General features: G+C 37.0%; 1 protein-coding gene across 5 annotated transcripts in view, besides 5 other annotated features; it reads right to left on the reverse strand.

Annotated features, from left to right (window-relative positions):
* The window catches only part of ZBTB20 (zinc finger and BTB domain containing 20), an 832,789-nt gene extending 815,972 nt beyond the window's left edge, over positions 1 to 16,817 (reverse strand). For 4 of the 5 annotated variants that reach the window (NM_015642.7, NM_001348801.3, NM_001348800.3 and 1 more), the window contains exon 1: positions 16,748 to 16,817. The gene's annotated coding sequence lies outside the window, so the exon portion shown is untranslated. Of the gene's footprint in view, positions 1 to 14,341; positions 14,437 to 16,747 lie in introns of all 5 variants that reach the window. The other variant, NM_001348802.3, reaches the window with a different exon arrangement.
* Positions 15,493 to 15,602: an enhancer, noted in NCBI's record as "active region_20280". NCBI's record gives its function as "activates an Ori minimal core promoter by ATAC-STARR-seq in GM12878 lymphoblastoid cells {active_cell/tissue: GM12878}" and the evidence as "EXISTENCE:reporter gene assay evidence [ECO:0000049][PMID:35858748]".
* Positions 16,283 to 16,552: a silencer, noted in NCBI's record as "silent region_14615". NCBI's record gives its function as "represses an Ori minimal core promoter by ATAC-STARR-seq in GM12878 lymphoblastoid cells {active_cell/tissue: GM12878}" and the evidence as "EXISTENCE:reporter gene assay evidence [ECO:0000049][PMID:35858748]".
* Positions 16,863 to 17,032: a silencer, noted in NCBI's record as "silent region_14616". NCBI's record gives its function as "represses an Ori minimal core promoter by ATAC-STARR-seq in GM12878 lymphoblastoid cells {active_cell/tissue: GM12878}" and the evidence as "EXISTENCE:reporter gene assay evidence [ECO:0000049][PMID:35858748]".
* Positions 17,333 to 17,542: an enhancer, noted in NCBI's record as "active region_20281". NCBI's record gives its function as "activates an Ori minimal core promoter by ATAC-STARR-seq in GM12878 lymphoblastoid cells {active_cell/tissue: GM12878}" and the evidence as "EXISTENCE:reporter gene assay evidence [ECO:0000049][PMID:35858748]".
* Positions 17,593 to 17,812: a silencer, noted in NCBI's record as "silent region_14617". NCBI's record gives its function as "represses an Ori minimal core promoter by ATAC-STARR-seq in GM12878 lymphoblastoid cells {active_cell/tissue: GM12878}" and the evidence as "EXISTENCE:reporter gene assay evidence [ECO:0000049][PMID:35858748]".

Here is a 21,071-nt window from a genome sequence, read left to right on the forward strand (position 1 = left end):
ATCAAGGGATATCAACTGCATGTCAGCTCTGATGTGGGCATGACCAATAGAGTCTGATTTAATCACAAACTACAAATCATTTGTAGATGTTTATTTGGCCTGAAATGCTAGAAGAACATCTGAAGATTTAAGAGAACATGTAGAAAATTCTGGTAGCACGTGGTCCAAAATTAACTTAAAGAAAATGCAAATATAAAGGAAAAAAACAATCTGCTTGGGTGCCAAGATTCAGAAATATGAACTCATTACTACCAAAACTAGCCATAATATTTTAAATTATTTTAATTTCTTTTTTTGTTTGTTTTTTGAGATGGAGTTTCGCTCTTGTTGCCCAGGCTGGAGTGCAATGGCACCATCTCGGCTCACCACAACCTGCACCTCCCAGGTTCAAGTGATTCTACTGCCTCAGCCTCCCAAGTAGCTGGGATTACAGGCATGCACCACCATGCCCAGATAATTTTGAATTTTTAGTAGAGACAGGGTTTCTCCATGTTGCTCAGGCTGGTCTTGAACTCCCGACCTCAGGTGATCCAGCTGCCTCGGCCTCCCAAAGTTCTGGGATTACAGGAGTGAGACACCGTGCCCGGCCAATTATTTTTATTTATGCATTTATATTCAAATATACCTAATTTTAATAAAATACATAAGTGGGGTTTTGAACATGTTTTTAGCACAACTTTTCTTTTCCTTTATTTCTTGGGTATCTGCTCCTCTCCTTTCATATTTCCTCTCATAAATAGTTATCCATTTTTATAACTTAGTATGCATCCTGCTACATTCTTCTTCCTTTAAAAATAACCCTACTATAAGGTAGATATATACATATGCAGATATTACTTATAAATATACATATTCAAGGATCTTTGTAATTATTTTTTAAAGGCTGAATATTATACACACTTTTCTATACCTTGCTCTTCTCACTCATAAGAAACTCCTGGAAATTCTTTCAGAAGATCTGAGATAGCTTTATTTCACATCATTTAATGACAGCATAATAGCCCATGGTTGAGTTTCCATTATTTACTAGCATTACCTTGTTAATGGGATTACTATTTTCTGCAGTTTTACCACTACAATAAAGTTACAACAACCTGGAAACCAAAAAATACACATGTTCTTAAATATTGCTACCTATATTTCTATGGAATATATTCCCAAAAATGAGACTGCCAGGTTAAAGTATTTGCAAATCATATGCAAATTATAATTTTAATAGGTTTTTGGTAGTCTTACAAGACTGCATTTTATAACAGGTAGAATATATCACATTTCCACCAGTAACAAATACTGTTAAGGTGCAAAATGGGAATATACTTTCATTTTTTTACATGGAGATCATCAGTTATGCCAGTCCCATTAATTTAAAAAATCCATCATTTTCCAACTAAGTTGTCATCTTTTTCAGAATTTGCCAATCATTTCCACTGATCTATTATGTATGCCTAGGCCATGACCATGTTGTTTAGATGAGCTGACTTTGTAATATGTTCTGGTATGTGTAATACAAGTCCCTCCTCATTGCTTTTTCATATTTGCTTGCCTTTCGTTACCATTTAATCTTCCAAGTAGTTTTAAAATAACACTGTTGACTTCAAAAAAGAAAAAAAAATCTCCCAAGATTCTAATTGGAATTGCATTATATAATTTATTAACTTTGAAATAATATTTTTATTGTTTTCCCATCCTAAACCAGTTTGTCCTTCTCTTAATCAGATCCTGTTTTATGCATTTTAATATCTTTGTTTTCATATAGTTCCTGTACCTTTCTTGAAAAACTTATTAATAGGCATTTTGTAATTTGTGTTTCTATGGAAAATGGAATAATATTTTCCCATTGGGAAAAAAAGTCTCATAGATGCCCAAATTCCTCCAGAGCAGAGTTGTTTTCATCTTATCTTTTATCCAACTACCTTATCAATTTTTCTTACTCATTTTTCTAGATTTTAAAATTCAAGTTTCTATAATTTTTAGACCATATATCATCAGCAAGAGACACCTGACATTCTTCTCTACAAATGTTAATGTTATATCATTTACCAACTGTATATGATAAAGCCTCTAAAATAATGTTAAATAATTGTGATGGTTCCTTGTTTAGTTTCTGTTGTTAATTAAAATGTTTTTAGGATTTAACAATTTAGGCCATGTGCAGTGGCTCACGCCTGTAATCCCAGCACTTTGGGTGGAGGCTGAGGTGGCAGGATCACTTGAACCCAGGAGGTTGAGGCTGCAGTGATCCCTGATCATGCCACTGCACTCCAGCCTGGGTGACAAAGTGAGATCCTGTCTCAAAATAAAAGACAAAAAAAAACCCCCAAAATTTAGAATACCTTTTGCCATTTATTGAGATAAACATGATTTTTCTCCTTTAATTTGATGATGTAATAAATTAAATTGGTATATTTCCTATTATTGAATCATGCTTACATTCCCACTTAAAAATATATTTTAAAATAGCTACTAGTGAGTTATTATTTTGATTCACTGTTAATATTTTCTAACATTTTCCTTAGAATTTTTTAATATACTTCGTAAGTGAAATTATACATTTTTTACTATATAATCTTTAACAGAATTAGATATTAAATTATGGAATATTTTGATATTTTTCCATGGCCTAGAATGATTTAAATTACATCAAAATTATGTATTCCTTACGTTTAAGTGACAACATCTGGTCAAATTTCTAATCTTTTCTATGCTAAGTAGCATCTGCTTTCTACTTCTTCTTAGGTCAATTTTTATCATTTGTATTTGACTAAAAGTCCTTTTATTTCTCAAGGGTTTTAAATTTGTCACACAGCTACATTCTTATTTAACATTCTTTTCATCTTCCAGTTTTTTCTTCTTTTTCATTTCTAATTGTGTACTTTTGTCATTCTTTTTCCTAAAGCTTTATTAGTGAATTAAAATTCATATAACATAAACTCACCATTTTAACTGTATTAAAGTATATAATTCAGTGACATTCGCAAGGTTGTATAAATATCACCAACTACCTCCAGAACATTCTCATCACTCCAAAAGGAAACCCTATACCCATTAAGCAGTCACTCCCCATTTTTCCTTCTCCCAGCCCCTGGCAACCACTAATCTCCTTTCTGTTTCCACCTATATGCCTACTCTGGACACTTCATATAAATGAAATCACACAGTATGTAGCCTTTTGAGTGTGGCCTCTTTCACTGAGTATGTTTTCAAGGTTCATCCATGTTATAGTATGTATCAGTACTTCATTATTTTTTATGGCTATTATATTGTATAGATATATCATAGATGAATAATTTTTATTCCTTCATTCAGCAGTTGATGGATATGAGTTGCTTCCACTTTTTGGCTACTATGAATAATGCTGCCATGAATATTTGAGTATAAATTTTATGTGAACATATGCTATCACTTCTCTTGAGTATATACCTCAGAGTGGAATTGACAGGCTCATTTTCTTTTTTGCTTTATCATCTTCACAAGGAGTTTATGTATCACATTGATCTTTCCAAAGAACCAGCCTTTAGATTTATTTCGGGTTTTACTATATGGTTTTTCTATTTCATTACTTTCATCTTTCTAACAATCTCCTCATCTTCTATCTTGTATTATTCTTTATACTAACTTCTTAACATTAGGTTATCTTTATCTTCCCTCTTCCTTAATAACAAAGGCCTTTAAGGCCATCAATTTTCCTCTGACAACTATTTTAGCTAATTTTCATTGGCTTTTACAAAAAATATTTCCTTTTCATTGCTTTCTAGGTGATTTCCTCTTCATCCAAAAGATATCTGGGAATGTTTTAATTTCTATGTAGATTTTTTTAACCTTTTAGAAAAACTGTTAAAATTTGATATATGTTAGCTTACAGTCAGAGAAAGTGCCTGCAAAATCTCTGCTCTCTAAAACTCAGTTTTCTTAGCAGCCAAGTGCAGAGATGCTCAAAAATATTTAAAGAATGTCCCACTGTAATTCCTATTATTCACGTTTTGATTTCTAGATCTATCCTCCAAATCTCATCTTTTTTTTTTCAATATTTCATCATGGGTTTTTTTATATGCTTGGATACATTTCTTGCATTTGGTCTTTTCATTCACTAATTCATATTTCGACAGTGACTATGCTCTCCCACAAATCCTGAGTTGTTCAAATGAGATATATTTAATATCTGAAATTATTTTCTGTTCTTTGAATTTCCTTAAGTGCTCCCAATTTTTGTTTTCAAATTCAGTTTTCATGTTTTCGCCAGTAGTCCTAGTTACCTGGAGTGTGTACTCTGATTTTCCTCTCTCACTTGCTATGGGTCTCCTTAAATGAATTGCTATTTTTCGCTAACTCACTGGAGCTCAGGTCTGGTTGCCAGATTATCCTAAATGGCAGAAATATCACAGGTGGTGAAAAGCAAAGGTAAACAGCCTGTCAGTTCCCTGCAAAGGCACATGGACAAAGAGCTCTGTTGTCCTATCTCTATTTCTTTTTAGCCTCCAAAGACAGAGAGGACTCCACCAGGACATTCAGCTACTTTAGCTTTTTAGCAGCTAGCGACACTTCGGTACTTAAAATGGATAAATATTGATCTCCTCCTACAGGAGTTCACAAACCTCTAAAGCCCAAGCTCTTCGTCCCAATGTCTATTGCTTTCTCATATTTACCCATGGACTCCAGCACCATTCTCCAGTTGCTTGCCCAACAGAAGGCAGAAGTTTCAAAGCAGTGTTTCTCTGCCCAAGGTGTCATGACAGTTGTTTATAGGTCACAGCAGCCATTTGCTTCAGAAAGCCAGGCAGCTTGGAATTGGAAGTGAAGAAGATAACCATATATAGCTACTTTGTTTTCAAAGTCTTTAATTTTAAAAAAGCCTGGGGTGGAGTGGGGTATGTGGGTGTGAGGTATGTCTGGACTTCATTATACTTATTCCTAAGAATCAATAGTTTCCTCAGAAAGCATATTCCTGAATATATAAAATGACAATATGTTCTTCTGCATGCTCTTTAGATTGAAATCGTGAAATACACTCCAGCTATTAATCACTTTAAGTAAGCTTTAATGCAATCCCAGTTTTAATTATTCCAGGACTTAATTATCTTTTGTTTTGAAAACAACTTCAAATCAATTTGCTGTAGTTTCAGTTAGAAAGACAAATTATGACTTTAGCCAATCAAGTCTGCCAATGTCTAACAAGTTTTATAAATATGAAAAAGTATGTCAGCTATTTATATAGGAATTACATGTGTCCCACATGTGGTTTACACGATGTTACCCTCTATATTGTTCACAACCCAACTACCTTTTTTGCTTTCTAGAAGAGCTAAGTAATTATATTATATTATCACTAATATTACAGTGTTTAACTGGATAAGACTTCTAAAAACTCAGATAATTAGGTAAAATAATTAAACCTATTTTTTAATTGTGTGAAATTTTATGAACATTCCTTAAGAATTAGAAAGCTCATATAAAAAGTTCAAAATCTCAATTGCAATCTATGAATTACAAAGCATAGTGTGCTTTGTTTGTCCCTCTATCCAGATAGGAATCATATAGGATATGAAATATGGGTTTCATCCTTAAATCAGCAGATAATATAATTCTGTGTACTCTATTCAACACAATATCCTGAATTGATTGTAGTAGATTTGCTTTACCACTGATGGGAGATACCTGACACATTTCTTTTCTGAATCATGGTAAATGTAATTTTATTGGAATTTTTGCCATGATAGAATTTCATTAAGTACCTAAAAGGATAGAAAACTGTGAGCATGTACAAACACGTTGGGTCTTGGAAAAGTACAGGGAAAGTCTATAATAGGTAATAATTTTAACAATGCTAAATTTGAACTCCAATAAGTAAACGGATAGCCTAGTAAGGAAAAATAATTTTCCCAGGATAAGTACAAAAAAGCCTGATCAACATTGAATTCCTCCTGTGTGCCAGATATTAGGCTAAGGACTAAAGCTATAAAGATAAATAAAGCATGGTACCTGTTGTTAAGGAACTGCAGTTAAGTGTACTATAATTCTAAATGTTACCTTTCCTAAGTGATGAATGTCAAAGAATTTAAGTTATAAGTTAAACTGCATATAAAACATCACACTGAATCAAACTCACTTTACACCAGATGCACCCATTTGTGCATTATAAAACTCATCATTACACATATAAGACAGAAACAGAGTAATGCATACCCCAAATGACAGAAACAACCATTTATTTTTGGCTCTTATACACTTTGGTAATTCGCTTAACAACAAATGTTGAGACTGTAATGTAGAATATTTGAATCAGAAGAACCTAGAATTTTGTTCATTTTTCCCATACTGCTTTTCAGCTCAAATGACCCCTTTAACACAGTATTGCCTTGCTCTCAATCCCTTTCTAAAACAAGAAAGATTATTAAAAACATGAGTGTTCAAAGGTATTTCTCTGAGGGTCAGATGTATAAAGGACAGTGAGATACAAACAACATAGCTGTTAAGAACACTAGGTCCCACAGGCTATCAAAATTACAAGAACAACAGAGTACCACCGATGATGAACTTGAGGAGAAAGGTGCCATGCACTAACTGAATGTTGATAATTTTTCTAACTTTAAAATACATTTTTCAGTGATGTATCCATTTGAATTATATAAAATGATTATTATACTATACTTCTTAATGCATTAAAAATAAGAGAATAAAGAAAATATCAGATATTCTCATAAGGAACAGTAAAGACACATAAGGGATGGTATAGCAATTTCATTATTCTTTGACTGCATTCAGATGATACAGCTTATATTTGTAATATAGCTTAACAGTAAACATTATCTTTTGAAAACTTTTTAAGTTTTTAGTACCTTGTATACAAAGGGTATATGAGTATGTATGTATACATGACAGAAGTACTTGGTTGGAGGTCATTTAAATTATCTGCAATAAAAATTCACTTTAAAGGTTACTATAATTCCTTTTAATTCATGCATGCTGACTATACTAAATATAATCCAAAGTCATGTACACTGACTTTACCTGAACTGATTTGAGACTACTACTCTGATAGAAATGCATTTACACTATCAGATAAAATTAAATCTTTCTTTCAGTATAGTGACAAATCAAGGAAAAGTTAAAGTACATAATAAAAGTCTAGACTGTATTCCACTCAAAGCATAGTAGAGGCTGTTTTAAAATTCCATGAATATGGGAAGGAGGAGACAAAAGCTAAATTCCATAATAAATAAAACAAAATTAAGGTATATAATATTTTACCCCTCATATCCATCACATCCTCAAGAAAGTTAACAGATGTTTTCCTGTTTTTGAAAATTGGACAGCAAACAACAATGTAGATTATAAATGTTCCTAGAACAGTGATTTCCAAATTGGGTGGCACACAGTAGGCATTCAATAAATGGCTTACCACACAGATTGTGCTACATTGCATATCTTTGTCATGCACTTAAACTTACTGCCTAACTCTAGGTTAGGACTGATGATCATGTTTTTGTGCCAAAAGCATAGCAGTCTTTGTTTTCGAAACTCTCAGTGACCCATATTTAAGCCAGCTATTGGTTTCTGAAACAAATGTTAAGGGCACAAAGAACAAACAAACACAAAAGCCTTCCAAAGTCATAGGATTTGCTACCCTTTGAATATACTGTTTCTAGTCTCCCTCACCCCTATTTCTGCATGATACCTGGTTCTTGGTTATTCAGTCGGGTTTGATTTAGTTTTCCTTTTTGACCTCTACCTTCCCAGAACTTTCAGTAATACTTCCTTTGTCCTGCTCCTACCCATGATTTCCAAGGCCTGCTTTAACATGGTACCCAGCTCCACTGTTGCAAATAGAACTAAATCAGGCAGCAGTTAGAGTCTATTCATTGTACAACCTTTAGACAAATTCTCTATCATCATTTTTAATTCTAGACTGAAGAGTTATATTTTAAAAAGATTCTATCACAGCAACCATTGTTCCTACTTACAACTCTTTCACCTTGTACCCTTCTCTAGAACCTTCTCCAAATCTATGCCTTTCTGAAATAAAATTGCCATTATTAATCTGGGCAAGCACTGAGTTAAAATCGTCCCAGAATAGTGGTCTGATGGGGTGGTGATTAAGAGCTTAGGTTCTCCAGAGCTGTACTTGAGTTTAATTTCCCATGTGTTTTATACTTAGCTGTGTGACTTTGAACAAGATACTTACCCTTTCTGAGCCTTCGCATATCTTTAAAATTGGGATAATAAAGGTACCTGTCTCACGGGATTGTGGAATTAACTGAAAAAATGCAGATATAACCAATGACTGCAACAAAGTAAGATCTCAGTAAATGTTGGCTACTATTGGTGTTGGTGGTGTGATTAGTATTCCTGTTTAATACAAGGATAGAATGCATTTACTTTTCACTGTGCTTCCCACTAATAATTTTGCTAGTCTTTTTGGTACTCATGGCTTTAGAAGAGTTACAGTGATTCTTCAATATGTATACTGGGTTTCAGTTAACACTAAAACCAGCTTCCCTTAAGCACATTTAGAATATCTTTTCCATTATTTGCATGCATTGAAGCATTCATACCACCTTTTGGGTCCAACAATTGATCTAAAATTATTCTTACAATTTCTCCTGATTAGCTAGATGTTTGGTAAGCTAAAATAGCTTACCATCATCTAACAGACAGTATATTTTGGCTACGAGGTGATTTATAAAATATTATATGATCAGTACCAGGAACATCTGGAGCTGTGGGTGGATGTGAGGAAATGAGAGGATTCAGGATAGTATAGCTTCCTGCAGATTGCTGTTTCCATCTAAGGTAATGTTAGATAGCTTTAAGCCTTTCACTACCATTCATACTAGCAAAAAGGATGAGTCAATTAAACAGAAACTGAGAGTAAAATTTTAAATTAGAACTTTGAGGTTATCATTAAAGATATATCAAGTAGGTATATAGAAATTGTATATAGTTGTTTCTTTCAATATATAACAGGACAATATTTGCAAAGTCTTTTCTAACAGATTCTTTCCTAGTCAGATTTCTTTGCCTACCTTATCTTCCTTCCTATGTAAATCTATCTGTGCATGGATATAATATAAGATCAAAAACTAAATGCAGTAGTTAAAAATTACCAATTTTATAAGATCTGCATGGAGGTGGTTCCTGATTACTCAATGTATACCTATGTTTTGCTTAGAGAAGAGAATCACAAAACCAAATTTATCTTTTATCTTTGAATAAATGTATCTATCTATAGATTTTATAGAAATAGAAAAATGTGAGTTGATTCATTCTGTTGTTACCTGCATCCTCAATTTTAACAACTTTATGCTGCATGAAATGCAGAGTCAAGTTTACAAATTCTATTAGCAATACACCTTCCTGAGTTAAGATGAGTTGGCAAAGTATTTATGTAAACTAATAGATTTATTATACTTACCCACTATGAAAGATTATAAGTACTTAATATCATATATCTATACTTTACTAGTGTGCTATGTTAGAAAGCATGTATCATTAAAATTAAACTTTTATAAAAGACTAAAAGTGGAAAGCAAAGTCAAGTATTTTACATATACTGTTTCTAGGTGTCCTAAGCATCAGTTTCAGTAACACTACCAGAAGCTAAAATAACAATTCAATTGTTGAAGGAAACAAACTCAGATGATTAGAACTGAAAATGACCCTAAAAATGAAAAATCTAAGGTGCTAAGGTGGAGATCCGCATAGATTATGCAACATGCCATAGATCATGTAACTAATTAATGGCCGCAGTAGAACTAGAACAACCTCTACTAACTTCACATCTGAGATTTTTGACAATGTATAACAAAGAGTTGAATTTAATATATGAGAGATTGAAAAGGTAGATATTGTCCCCAAGTTAAAAATCTTTGGATGTAATTACTTCTACTTACTTAATTTTATATTCCTAAGACGACACATTTAAAATAGCATAAAACTGTAAAAACTCGTTAGAAGTAATGAAAACTACAAACAAAATTTATGCTTTATCTTAAATCAAAACCATGGAAAAGGCCATTTTCTTTTGTCTAAAGGAAGCCTGAGATTTACTGAAAATGTGTGTGAGTGCGAGAGAGTGTGTATGTGTGTGTGGTGGTGGTAGGGGTCTTTGTTTTGTTTTGTTTTGTAAATTGTTAGAGATTGTTCTATTAATAGTTTCCTTTTGTAATGGTAATCTGTGCTCCAAAATGAGGGCACACTAAAATGAATTTCTGATAATTTATAAAGCAGTGAAATACAAATACATTTCTAGAAACTTACTAATGACAGTAAGAAAATGGGTACCAAGAGTTTCAAAATTAAAAATCAAAATCTTTTTAATATTATGTTGAATTAGAACATCTTTTTAAAAGCCAAAAGTAATTGAAAAGAGATTAAATTGGTACACTCAACTCTCTAAACTGTGTGTATATTTTTCTTAAAGTGCATATCTGTGAGCTGACAGTAAAGACAGGCTGGCTGCTTTGTTTGACTATAGTTCTGTTTACCTCATACTGTCAAGAATGGATTTTGACACAGTATTAATATTGCTATTTTTATTGATATAATTAGCACTGCTATAAATAATTTCTTGTGCTGCCATATGTAAGTATATCATTACAATCAGCAGTATTTAGTGCTTTTCTTATATGACACCTTGAAAACAGACTGTTGGCCCAAAGAACAAAAGTGACCTCATGATATGGGAATCACTGAAAAAAACATTGCCCTGTCAATAGAGACTACTGTTTTGTGTATGACTTCACTAAACAAACTAGTTTATATTTGTTTGAAACTAAAGTTTCTCACCAATCTGCTGTTTCAATTTCACATCACACCATATTGTACCTAAAACAGGCAATCTGGATTCCTGTTGCTACTTTTTCTTCCCCCAAACAGCTCAGGAATGGGTTTGAAATACAAGGCTTGAATACATAAAGCAAAATAATTAAGACACCCAAAATTCAGAATGGGTGGGTGAAAACAAGTACACTTGAAACCATTTGTGTAACTACTAGTGGGTGGCCCACTGTGAGTTTTTGATTATATGAAAGCAAAATCAAAACATATTTTATCTTGCCTCTAGATCACATCAGCTGTGACAATAACCTCATCTGGACCTTGAATAGTTTGTTCATAAAACAAAGTAGGGTGACTGACCCAGTGCATATTCAACACAGAGTATGAAGGCCAAAAGAAAATGACAATACCATTCAAAACAAGTTTGTGGAAATTTTAGACTAGTATATTAAAACCTTTCTTTGTCTCTATCACTTGACAGATGGTTAGCCTTCACACAGCCTAGTATCTCTGGCAAAGAAATGACTGTGTCTAGCCAATAACACCCCAAATTTTGACTTAAAATGCACTGTACACATGCTTAGACTTACCTTACAAATATGAATATTAATAAACTTAGTCATGCTTACTTTATTACTATAAAAACTTGATAGATGTCAAGATTTCATCTTCTGCCGTTAAAAATACCTTCTTGAAACTCAACTATCTTAGGTGGATATAAGGTTCCATGAACTCTGCACTTCAGATTTCATTCATTTCACAGGTTGGCTGGTAATCATGCTTAAAAAAATACTTCCAAAATAACACTTCATCCCAAAAATATAAAATTTATAGAAATTTAATTAGCTTGTGTTTCTATGCTATCCATAGGAAAGTTTTGGTAACAAAGTGGCTTAAACAAAATCACCAGGGAACCCTGAATACACTCCATGTCAAGGACCACAGGCAGGACTGGAATTATTTATCCAGTATTGATATGTCTTTATTCAAAAACTGCTCATTTATAAATATATACTCACACACACATGCAAACACACATCGATCAACCATCCTTACCAGAAAACAGGAAATGGTCTTACTTTTTAACATTCAATTAGCCATTCTTCCATTTTGCTCTTTAAAAAAAATTCAACTGAGGCTGGGCACGGTGGCTCACACCTGTAATCCTAGCTCTTTGGGAGGCCAAGGCAGGCAGATCACGAGGTCAGGAGATCAAGACCATCGTGGCCAACATGGTGAAACCCTGTCTCTACTAAAAATAACAAAAAAATTAGTAGGACGTGGCTGTGCGCGCCTGTAGTCCCAGCTACTCAGGAGACTGAGGCAGGAGAATTGCTTGAATCTGGGAGGGGAGGCTGCAGCGGGCCAAGATTGTGCCACTACACTCCAGCCTGGCGACAGAGCAAGACTCCATCAAAAAAAAAAAAAAAAAATTCAACTGAAACAATGTATTCCATTAGTTATAAAGTCTGTTTCCTCCTAAATCTTCCTATTTATAGTTTTCAGATGCTGGCAAGTCCGTATACAAATAGCCAGAGGCAATCACAAACTGCTCTAAAGTGCATTAATATGTACCCTTCCTGGAAGAGGCTGATTATGTTCCAAATTAGCATAAATAGAGATCTAATGTAGGTATAAGCGTGACAAACCCTCCACGGCACAGGATGGGAGGGCTGGAGGAGGGAGGATTGTATTAAAAAAAGTTATTCCACTTAAGAACTAAACTTGTATTTGGCTAACAAAGTAAGACTCACCATGACAGATGGGAAAAAAAATTAAAAAGGAAAAACTGTTATTTGAGAACTATGAACTAGGTTTTGGAAAGGTGAGACACCCACTACTTGAAGTCACAATCTCAGCATTAAATCATATACTCATTTAACCAGGTACCAACTTTCCTTCTATTAGAAACCCAGGATTTTTACACCTACAGACTAAATGATTAAAGTATTGCTAAAATCTTCTGTAATGTTCCTCTTGCATTACAAATAAGTCTATTAAAGCAGAAAAGTGCCAATCAAATGCTTTTGAAAAAATGGTTTAAATAACAAAGCATTTTTTGCAGGTCTCTCCTCTTTAATGTCGCCTATAAACTAATTACAATAAATTTTCACCTTCTCTTGATAAAATCACAACTGAAACTAGGCATGGTGGCATGCACCTTAGTCCCAGCTACTAGGAGGCTGAGGCAGGAGGGCGGATCACTTGAGCCCAGGAGTTAAAGTACAGCCTGGGCAATAAAAGGAGATTCCCATCTCAAAAAACGAAAAAGAAACCCAGAACTGAAAAAGATTTAGGTACTTGATTTTTCAGATATGTTCCTAAAAACAAATCCCAACCAAAAATTAACAGATATTCTAGCTTTTGTTTTACCATACTTTGCTAACGGGATAATACTATGTAGGAATTTTATAGTAACTTTCAAGACACAAGATTTTTTTAATATAAAGCAACGTTTTATTAATTTCAAAGACATTATTAAAATCATGAAAAAAATCCCTATCTGTTAAAATTACCAACTGAAATATATGGAGAAAGTTTCATGACAATAACAAAAGGTACAAATAAGAAATAAACTAAGATCTTTCTTTCCTATCACTGCCAACTGGTAAACACCTTCCTCCTTCTCAAACTTCTGTAGGCTCTTTCAAACTGTAGTTCCTAAGACAAGAAAGCAGCTAGGTTTTAAAGTTTCATTAAAAAATCTCCTCCCCTAACAATCTAAAATGCACAAAGTGTGTGTGACATTAGAATGTAAGCTCCACAAGGGCAGGCAATTTTCTCTCTTGTTCATTATTACACTCCAAGTGTCTAGAACAATATGATAAATTTAACCATCCATTTCAGAAAAATATGATTATTTCAGAGACTAAAGCAAAGCCCATCAATCTCTACTTCCGTATTCCAAATGTTTTTGAAGAAGTCTCTGCTTGCCACTGATTCTGTGAAGTTATTCAAAATAATATGTAATTATTTTATAAATTATAGATCGCAGGAACTTAGCTGTAGCTTTTATTGCCCTTCTAAAACAACCTAATTATTCAGACTGGCCTTTTTTTCTAGAAAGTCCAATTTACCTAATTATTCAGACTAGCCTTTTTACTAGAAAGTCCAATTTGTCTAAAAAGTCTTCTGAAAACTTTCACTAATGCAACAAAAATGATTCGCTTAAAATATTTTTTCCTTAGATTTTCTTCCTATACCAAGTAGTCAAATTCTTATTAACAGGACAACAAGAGGAATTAGATGTTTGCGGGCCTCAAAAACTTTCTGATCCAATTATAGAAGAAACTGGCATCACATCAACTGGTAGTTCTAAACACCCCCTTCCCCAATTATAGCCCTCACATGAAAGTTTCTCTTTCCTCTAGTATTCCATTTAATCTCGTATTTTCTTTTAGTAGCTAGTCAATGTACACATGACCTATATGTGCATTTTCTTGGTTTTGTAGTAATCTTAAAACACGGGCCTAGATGGGTAAGCATAAAGACTTCTTCCTGGAAATGGATAAAATTTGACAATTTTTAACCTGATACTTTCTTTAGCTTGTTAAAATTAGGACCTCACCGTGAAAGGGCATATTGCTGTGGAGGCTGGTAGGCAGCAAACTTGTCACCTGATCTTCATATGCACAAGGCCTGTATTCCACTGGTCTATAAAATCTGAAATCATAAAACCAAAAATATCCAATTGCCCAACTCACTGAGCAGCTAATATAGTTCTAGAAATCTCACTTTTCTTCTTCTCACCTGTTTACTTCAACACCATGTGTCCCCAAACCTAAGGCCCTCCAAAATTGAGCTCCATAAAAATCAAAACCCCAATCTTGAAAATTAAGCCTTGAGTACTGAACAGTTACATCAGCAATTCCTCAAGGGCAATTTCAAAAGCTTTCCTGGGAGACTACTGGAAAGATGGCACAGGGATATCACCATGCACTATGTGTGCAACAACTTTGATATATTCTAAGAATCACAAAGAACAAAGGCATGAAAATCAATGTAATTTTTTTTCTTTCACTAGAAAAATACAGATTCTTCATTTTAAAGCAAAAAAGCAAAAAGTAGCCACATCTTGACTGGACAAACTTACAGTTGACCCTCAGTATCCATGGGAGATTGGTTCTGGGACCTCTCTAGGAAACCAAAATCCACAGATGCTCAAGTCCCTTACATAAAATAGTGTAGTATTTGCATTTAACCTAATCACATTCTCCCACATACTTTAAATCATCTCTAGGTTACTTATAACACCTAATACAAGTAAATGCCATGTATTAATAAATCGTTGTTACACTGTATTGTTTAGGGAATTGTGGCAAGAAAAAAACTATATATATTCTATTCCATCTATTCCCCCACACCCAAAATATTTTTGATCTGCAGCTGGTTAAATCCACAGATGCAGAACCCAGGCACAGGAAGGGCTGACTGTATGTGACCGGGAGTGGAGGGGGATCTATATAAATATTTCCACAAAATAGCAAAGGGTACTTGGGATTGGGAGCATGAACAGAAATGAAAACAAACCATTATAAATTTAAAGATGACTGGTTATCACTTAAATTTAGTGTCTACAGCTATTTATTTATAAAATGGTAATTGTGTTTTAAAACTTTCAATGGCAACAAGTTACAACAGTAACTTCAGAATAGCGTTCACTTGAAAACATTGGGTGAATGGCCTCTATAATTTTTTTAGCTGAAATGTATACACCGCCACGCAGTGAGGAAACTTGACTTTAGCACCCTTTTGGTATTTTTAATAGAAAAAACAGTGGAGAAGATTTTCACATGTCTAGAAAGGTAACATGTTCAACTTAGGTTTGGCCAATGCTGATTCTGAGGACAGTACTACACCCGCAAGCTTCCAAACTACTTCCTGATTCATTCAGATTTTCATTGGAGAGCTGTCATCCTGCTACTGACCTCATTCAACCCAGTTCGGAGTGAGAGATCAGCGGATTACCGCGCTAGGTACCGTAGCTGTACGCCATATTGTGTTTTTCGCTAATGTTTAGTTTGTGTGTGTGCCTAGCATATGTTTGTGCAAGTGTGTTTATCAATAGAACTTTTAGAAAATCCCTGCCTCCTGCCTCTTCAGCATCCTTAAAAAGGATAACAGCTGGGGGCGGGGGGTGGGGGGAGGACCCAAAAGCCACACAGACAGGAATACATTAAACAGTGTACGAGAGACGGCATTTGTTTTAAACTTTCAAGAACCTTCCAACCATTTTTATATCAGGAATCAAAAAGTGTTAACATGTTTTAATGTTTCCGAAGTGGCCCAAAGAAGAGAAAGAAGGAAAGGTGTGTCTTCCCTTCCCAAGCCCCCTCCTCTCTAGTCGTAGAAGCGAAGCAGGCGGGGGCCGGGAGCTCCGGCGTCTGGAGAGACATCCAGCGGCTGTGGGGCCAGGACACCTCCTGCCCCCCAGTTCTCTGAAGACGCTCCAGAGACCGCGAGAGCCACGGCAAGCGGGGGAGGGCGAGGAGGGAGGGGGCAGAAGACAAGCGGGCGCCTCTAGCAGCTCCTGAGCCCCGGCTAGTCCCCCTCAGCTCCTCTTCTTGGAAGCAGCGGCTCCAGGCGCAGGGAGTAGAGAGAAGAAGGCAGAAGACACGTTTCCAGCTGCGGGACGTCCCGCCCGCCCCGCCACCCTTCGACCCTCCCGCGCCTCCCTCCCACCTCCCCGCCGGGTCGGGCGAGGCAGCCGCCGGGCGCTAAGAAGGGCGCCGGGGGAGGGGGCGCGGGCGGGGCGGGGCGGGGCGGGGCGCGGGGGCGCGCGCGCTCATCCAGCTCAGGGCCCGCTGGCTCGCCGCTCTGTAACTCGCTCCCCCAACCCCACCCCGCTCCCCTCCTTCCCAGTCCCGCCGCCCCCCACTCCAGGCGCCTCGCAGACGCCTCATCCCCCTCGGCACGCACACACTCCTCCCTCTCTCCCGCCCGTCCCACAACAAATTAGAGTTTGTGGCATTACCTCCTCGCGCTCTTTAATCTTCTTTCCTCAACTCCTAAACTTCCCCCCGCCCCTACTTCTTCGGCAGAAGGCCCACATTGGACGCTTCACTCCGCGAACCCTCTATCTCTCCCCGCTATAGGATAGCTCTCACGCCAATCTTGGCTTCAGTGAGCCAATGAGAATGGGACGCCCCTCGTGAGGTTGCCGCCCATAAACAAAATGCACTCTTCCTTCTCCCCTCCGCCCCCCCGTCCCCGCCCCTTTCTTCCTCTTCCCTCATCTCTGTCACCTTCGATTGGGCTAAAAGAGGCCCAATCCGCTATCTCAAACATCCATTGGGACGCGGAAACTTCGCTCAGAGAAGTATTAACAGGCGATTGGTGGACAATCCTTCCACTTCGCCCACCCCCACAACCCCCTCCCCCCGCCGCACCTTCACCCTTTCTGAAAAGGTCAATCGTATCTCGTTGTTCAGTGATCCGGGAGGTGGAAGGCTATTGGTTCAGGGAGCCCGTCAGACCGGACTGGAGTGAGCCATGATTGGTCGACACAGGCGCAATCAGGTTAGGTTGCTTACTCCTCCGCTCCTCCCTCCTTTTCCTCCACGCCCCATCTCCCCCACCCCCTACTGCTTTTACTTTCTACGCATTTCTATTTCCTCCTTTATTTATTTATTTGTGATAAACTTAAATGACCCGGCGACGGAGGCGGTACTCTAGGAGAAGGCTGAGGATGACGAGCGGCGGCCTGGGGCCAATTGCCGAGAGGGCTGCGGGGTGAGGGGCAGCGGCGGTGGCCAGTGAGAGGCAGGTGTCTGGAGCGCGCTGGGCCTGTGGAGCCGGGATGCCCCAGCGGAGGCGGCGGTTACCCGCTGTCTGGCGCGGCGAGCTGCGCCGGGGGAGCCGCGGGAGCGGAGAGGGGGGTGTCGCTGTCTTGGACAGCTGAGGCAGCGGGATGGAGGCTGGATCCCGGGCGGTGGGTGGGAAAGCCGGAGGGAGGGTCTGGCTGGCGGCAGCGCGCAAGGCCGCACCGGGTCACGCTTGATTCCCGCGGAATGGGGCGCAGGTTGCCAGACCGGGTCCCCAGTGCTAGGGCTCAAGGAAGAATTTGTTCATGCAGAAGATTTAGAAAAATACTATGTAAAAGAGTTTGGAGTAAGCCTCCCTTAATATAAATGAGATTTATTATCCTGCCGGAAAAAGCAGATTATGTTTCTTATTACTGAACGCCTGAAGTACCAACGACTCAACCAGAGCCCACAGAATTCAATATCCTGGGTGGTAAAAGGAACAAATAAAGCAACACGGAAAATTAAGTGTGGTTCAAATGCTTCAATAAAATCTTCGTCCTCAACCATTTGTCATTCAACATAGCACTCCCCAGAGCCAAATTCTTACCAAATATTGGTCCAGTACTCAGGCATTGGAGAAAAAAATGAGGCTGAAGTCCAGCAGGAAGCCCAGGATAGATTCCTAAAAAGGATTTCTTACAAGGGCCAAGATGGGAGGGTTGGGGAAATCGCTTTTCACTATACAAAGAAAAAAAAATAATTACTGCCAAACTAAGTTGCACTTTTTTAGGCAGCTGATATAGCAATATTTTGTCACAAAATAAGAGACTTTATCAAAAATACCATGCATGCAAAGAATACACTGTACTTGGGATTTGAAAATGACATTGTTTCTAGGACATGGATTTGATGTATAATTTCCAATAGACTTAAGTCATCTGGATTTTAACCCAGGCTTCTTTGGAACGTACAGCATGCTTTCACATAAGATGCCTGGTTAGAGGTCTTTGACAGAAACTAAGCAAAATAAATTGGCCCTGGTGAAAAAAAAAAAAGTAAGGGCCTTGACCTCATTAATACTATTAAAGCTATCTTGTGAGGATTATATGTATGAGGCTTTGAGAATCCAGAAAATTACTGTGTGTGGTGTCAATTTTGAAGTCTGGGAATTGCTAGTGAGTTTGGAAGCCAAAACACTTTTAAACTTATATATAAATCTTAGCTAAAAAGTGATATTGACTGGGTGCAGCTGCTCACACCTGTAATCCCAACACTTTAGGAGGCCAAGACAGGCGGAACACTTGAGGTCAGGAATTTGAGAGTAGCGTGGCCAACCTGGTGAAACCCCGTCTCTACTAAAAAATACAAAAATTAGCCGGATGTGGTGGCGCACACCCGTAATCCTAGCCACTAGGGAGACTGAGGCAGGAAAAATCGCTGGAACTCGAGGCAGAGCTTGCAGTGAGGCGAGATCGCACCACTGTACTCCAGCCTGGTGACAGAGCAAGACCCTGTCTCACAAAAAAAGAAAAAAATGAAAAAGAAAAAAAGTGATTTAGTAAGAATAATAAGTATTCCATACAGAACAATCAGCAGCGCATGAGAAAAATCAGTAAAATTTAACATTGGCGTTCACACAGTTACTCCTATAACTTCTCCAAGGAGCAATGACCACTCCTTCCAAGTCATTCTTAAAACTTGTTGTTTTCAACAAAATTTTAAAGGTATTATTCAACCTATTGGCATGAGAGTTAAGATTATGATAGGGCACACTAGGAAAGCAATGCAAGATATTCTAATTCAAATAATAATGATAAGGTGAAGCCCTAGGTATTACTGCCCCTATTTAAGGTAGTAGTTATGTCCTGTTCGTGTGATATTAGAAACTGGAATTAGAATCTTTCTGCCTCTAAGAAATCCCTCAATTTTCATATTTACATTACACATCTACATACCTTGATCACACTCAGATACAAACACCCCAAAAGATGTACCAAGAATTCCATAATTATGTCAAGGATCAAGAGAGATGTTTTCTTGGTTAGCAAATAGCAGAATTGAGAAAAAGAATAAAATAAGCAAGATGTGGTAAGAAAGGAAGGGAAGATAATACAAAAAAACAGCTGGGTGTGGTGGCGCGCGCCTGTAGTCCCAGCTACTCGGTAGGCTGAAGCGGGAGGATCTCTTGAACCCGGGAGCTGGAGGTTGCAGTGAGCCCAGATTGCACCACTGCCTCCAGCCTGGCGACAGAGCGAGACTCCGTCTCAAAAACACGGAAGGGAAGATGATGAAGAAGGCAAGATTGATAAAAAATGAAAATACAAGTGACTGCTTAGAGAAGAATTTTAAGACTTTTATACTTCTTTTAGTCCATTAGTCTACCTATTGCCTTCACAGATTATAGTTTACAGTTCCCAAGGCTCCAGAAGAGGCCAAACTAGTAGCAAATGTAATCTACTTACGTTACTAATGAGGACACAGACTTCGAATACTTTATCCAGCGTCACAAGTAGCAGAGCTTGTTTTCAAACTCAAGTCTGTCTGCCTCTTTCCACTATACTATTTACTCATTCAACAAGTACTAAGTGTGTATCTTCATACTAACTATAATTATTGGACATTTAAGATGCCAGGAACTTAGCAACTAAGCAGAAGAATTGGCATTTTTCTCCAAAGACTTGACTGTGTCTTGGAAGAGAGAAATAAAGGGATGAATTATGCTGCATACACATATGGCATATACAGCACAGGAATACATAGCAAAGAATGCCTAACTCTTAAGCAGCTGAAAATATTTGTAACACCCTGAACTGATCACTATACTGAATTCAAAAGTTAATCAAATCAAGTCTTGCTCCCCAGGGACTTAGATTTTAATAAGGGCGCTAATGAGACATATATATGTGTGTGTGTGTGTGTATATATATATATACATATACACACTACATATGTATACATGTATACATATGTAGTGTGTGTATATGTATATATATATATACACACACACACACATATATATATATACACTAGCCAAATGGAAAGAATAATAGAATAAATAGTACACCTTGAAGAGTGGAAGTACAAAATCAGGGAAGCAGTAACTTTTGAGATTTTTTTTTCAGTATCTGTTAGAGAATTTTCCATCCATACACACACACAACCACATATGAAATACATGTCACTTCATATTTTTGCCATTTGCCTAAAGACAGGTACTACTTTTCTATACATGAGCTCATTAATAACCTGAGCAGATAACAGCCAATAAAACAATATTAAAGGAAAAAGTCTTTTCGTAATGAAAGAAAATTGAATTAGACCTCAAAATTTGTCAGAAAAATGTGCAAAAAATTAAAATTAGACAATTTACATCCAAAGCAACTTAAAAGAGGTTTCTATAAATCCTTGTGTAATTCAGATGTGAGACAAGTTATTCTGCACCTGGAAACTTATATAAAATTTGCCTTTAACCTCCAAATCCACATTATGGTAGAAATCTGAGGCCCTTATTTCACTGGATTTGCAGGGGCTTATGTTTTCCTGGTTTTCTGT

This window comes from Homo sapiens, chromosome 3, assembly GCF_000001405.40.
Source record: "Homo sapiens chromosome 3, GRCh38.p14 Primary Assembly".
NCBI lineage: Eukaryota > Metazoa > Chordata > Mammalia > Primates > Hominidae > Homo > Homo sapiens.